The 1,945-nt window shown below is 38.2% G+C and overlaps 1 annotated feature.

Annotated features, from left to right (window-relative positions):
* Positions 431 to 1,605: an enhancer, noted in NCBI's record as "VISTA enhancer hs1185". NCBI's record gives its function as "enhancer in: limb[4/6]" and the evidence as "EXISTENCE:transgenic organism evidence [ECO:0001131][PMID:17130149]".

Genomic DNA, 1,945 nt, shown 5'->3' with positions numbered 1-1,945 from the left:
CTAAGGTATGACGTTTTGTGAAGTTATGCTCGACAGTATAAGTCTGTGCAGTAGGCAGAAGTGTTACTTTTCTCATTGAATTGATATTTGTGTATAGTAGTGTGGCGTATATTTCCATCTCTCTCTAAAGCATATGAGAAGTTAATTTGGCAGGGCATACCATCTCCCGTTTGTGAACCTTTGTTTCCCATCTGTGTTGTAAAGAGGTTGGACTCAAGTGTTCTTTCCAACTGTAGCACGGGGTGCTTCTCTATTTATTATTCACACTATATATGTCTTAAGTTATACTTAATAAATTTTTTTCTAAAGATAGCCATCTATAGAGAGGGAAACAGGTCACCAAAAAAGGGTGCCAACATTTCTCTTGAATAATAGAATAGACCCTCATCTGTGTAAAATGGTTTATAAGTGGCTCAGCCAAAATACAGGGAGGACAAAAGGAAGGGGAAAACAGCAGGGTTGACCCAAGTGAGCTCTGCACATTCACTCTGGCTCACTAATGTTCTGTGTGTGCACATAATAAGTGTTTAATAAATGTTTGTCAAATAAATAAAGTCCATGTGCACTTTATGCCTCTCTGGCTCTCAAAGCACTTTCTCATGCATTATCTCATTTGACCCCACAATATCCTTACAAAGTGGCTACAGCAGGTATTCTTAACCCTGTTTTCCAGATTCAAGAAACCGAGCCTCAGAGCATTTGAGTGATTATGCCCAGGTCACAAAGCTAGTAAATGGCAGAGCCAGGTCTCAAACGGAGGGCTTTTAACTTCAACTTCTGTGTTCTTTCCATGGCATTATGCAAGCCTCGTAATTCTAAGATACAGTCCTAAAATAACACAAAAGACTCAGCCAGCCTCCTTCTTTATTCCCTTGACCTCATTAAAGCTTTAAATGGAACTTGTCCTCACAAACTTAGGGTGCAACATCAAATCCGTCTGAGTTTCTAGGGCACGTAGCAACAGCTTGCTTTAATCTAATAATTGGCTGAAGTAGAACCACAGAAAGAACATAAAAAAGGCAAATTGTTATTTTTCAAAACCAAGCCATTCCCTGCCTAAAAGGTTCACAGCTTTTTCCTTTTCCAAGAAAATATTTATCCCCCTAAAAGATTTCTTCCCGTTAACAATATTTTTACAGCCTTTGTGATACTTTTACAGCATTTTAGATGCAATCTAAATACTATATATTTCAAGAATGGAACCATTACATTAAGAACGCTGCATGTGTTTAATAGTGTCTTTTATGAGGTTTATTAAAAGAAGCCATAAATTTCTGAGAAAGGTTTAAGCCATATTACATTGATCTTACTTCTCATTTAAACAAAATGTAAACTTTAAGTAAAACCTTGATGTGGAATGTAAACTCGCTCATATACCCTGAGCTTACTCATTCACATGTGCCACCTTTAAAATATTAAATCATCTATGAAGCACTCCATTTCTTTGAGTGTTTTCCAATCACAACAAATAGCTTTCCGGTGATTGCTTGTACCTGTTGAATTTCTTGAATTCATTCACAGAGAGGAATGGGTGGATACAGAGCAGGGTTTTCAAATCATTCTGGGCTCTGCATGCCTAAGGCAGCTTGCAGCCCAGGTTAACTCTTGAGTTGCCCTCTCCAAAAATAAACTCATATGCCAAAGGTAGGTGCTTTTATCCCCATTTTATAGATGGAAACACTAAGGCACAAATAAGATTGAGCAATTTTCCAAAGTCACACAGTCAATAAGGAAGAGTCAGTGTGTAAACCCAGGCAGTCTGGCTCCAGATGGCTGAAGCCCAAGCTTTGCTCCAGAGTCTGATTCTATCCTGCCTTCTTTATAGGATTATGAGGATTAGATGAGGTAATACACAGAAAGCATTTAGCACAGTGCTTGACAGATAGCACTCAACAAGATTAGCAATTATTAACATCATTAGCTAGTGCGTGTTAAGGCTGATAGT

The sequence above is a fragment of the Homo sapiens genome, chromosome 1 (genome assembly GCF_000001405.40).
Source record: "Homo sapiens chromosome 1, GRCh38.p14 Primary Assembly".
NCBI classification, from domain to species: Eukaryota; Metazoa; Chordata; class Mammalia; order Primates; family Hominidae; genus Homo; species Homo sapiens.
The sequence above is the reverse complement of the archived record's forward strand: the minus strand, read 5'-3'. Positions and strand labels throughout refer to the sequence as shown.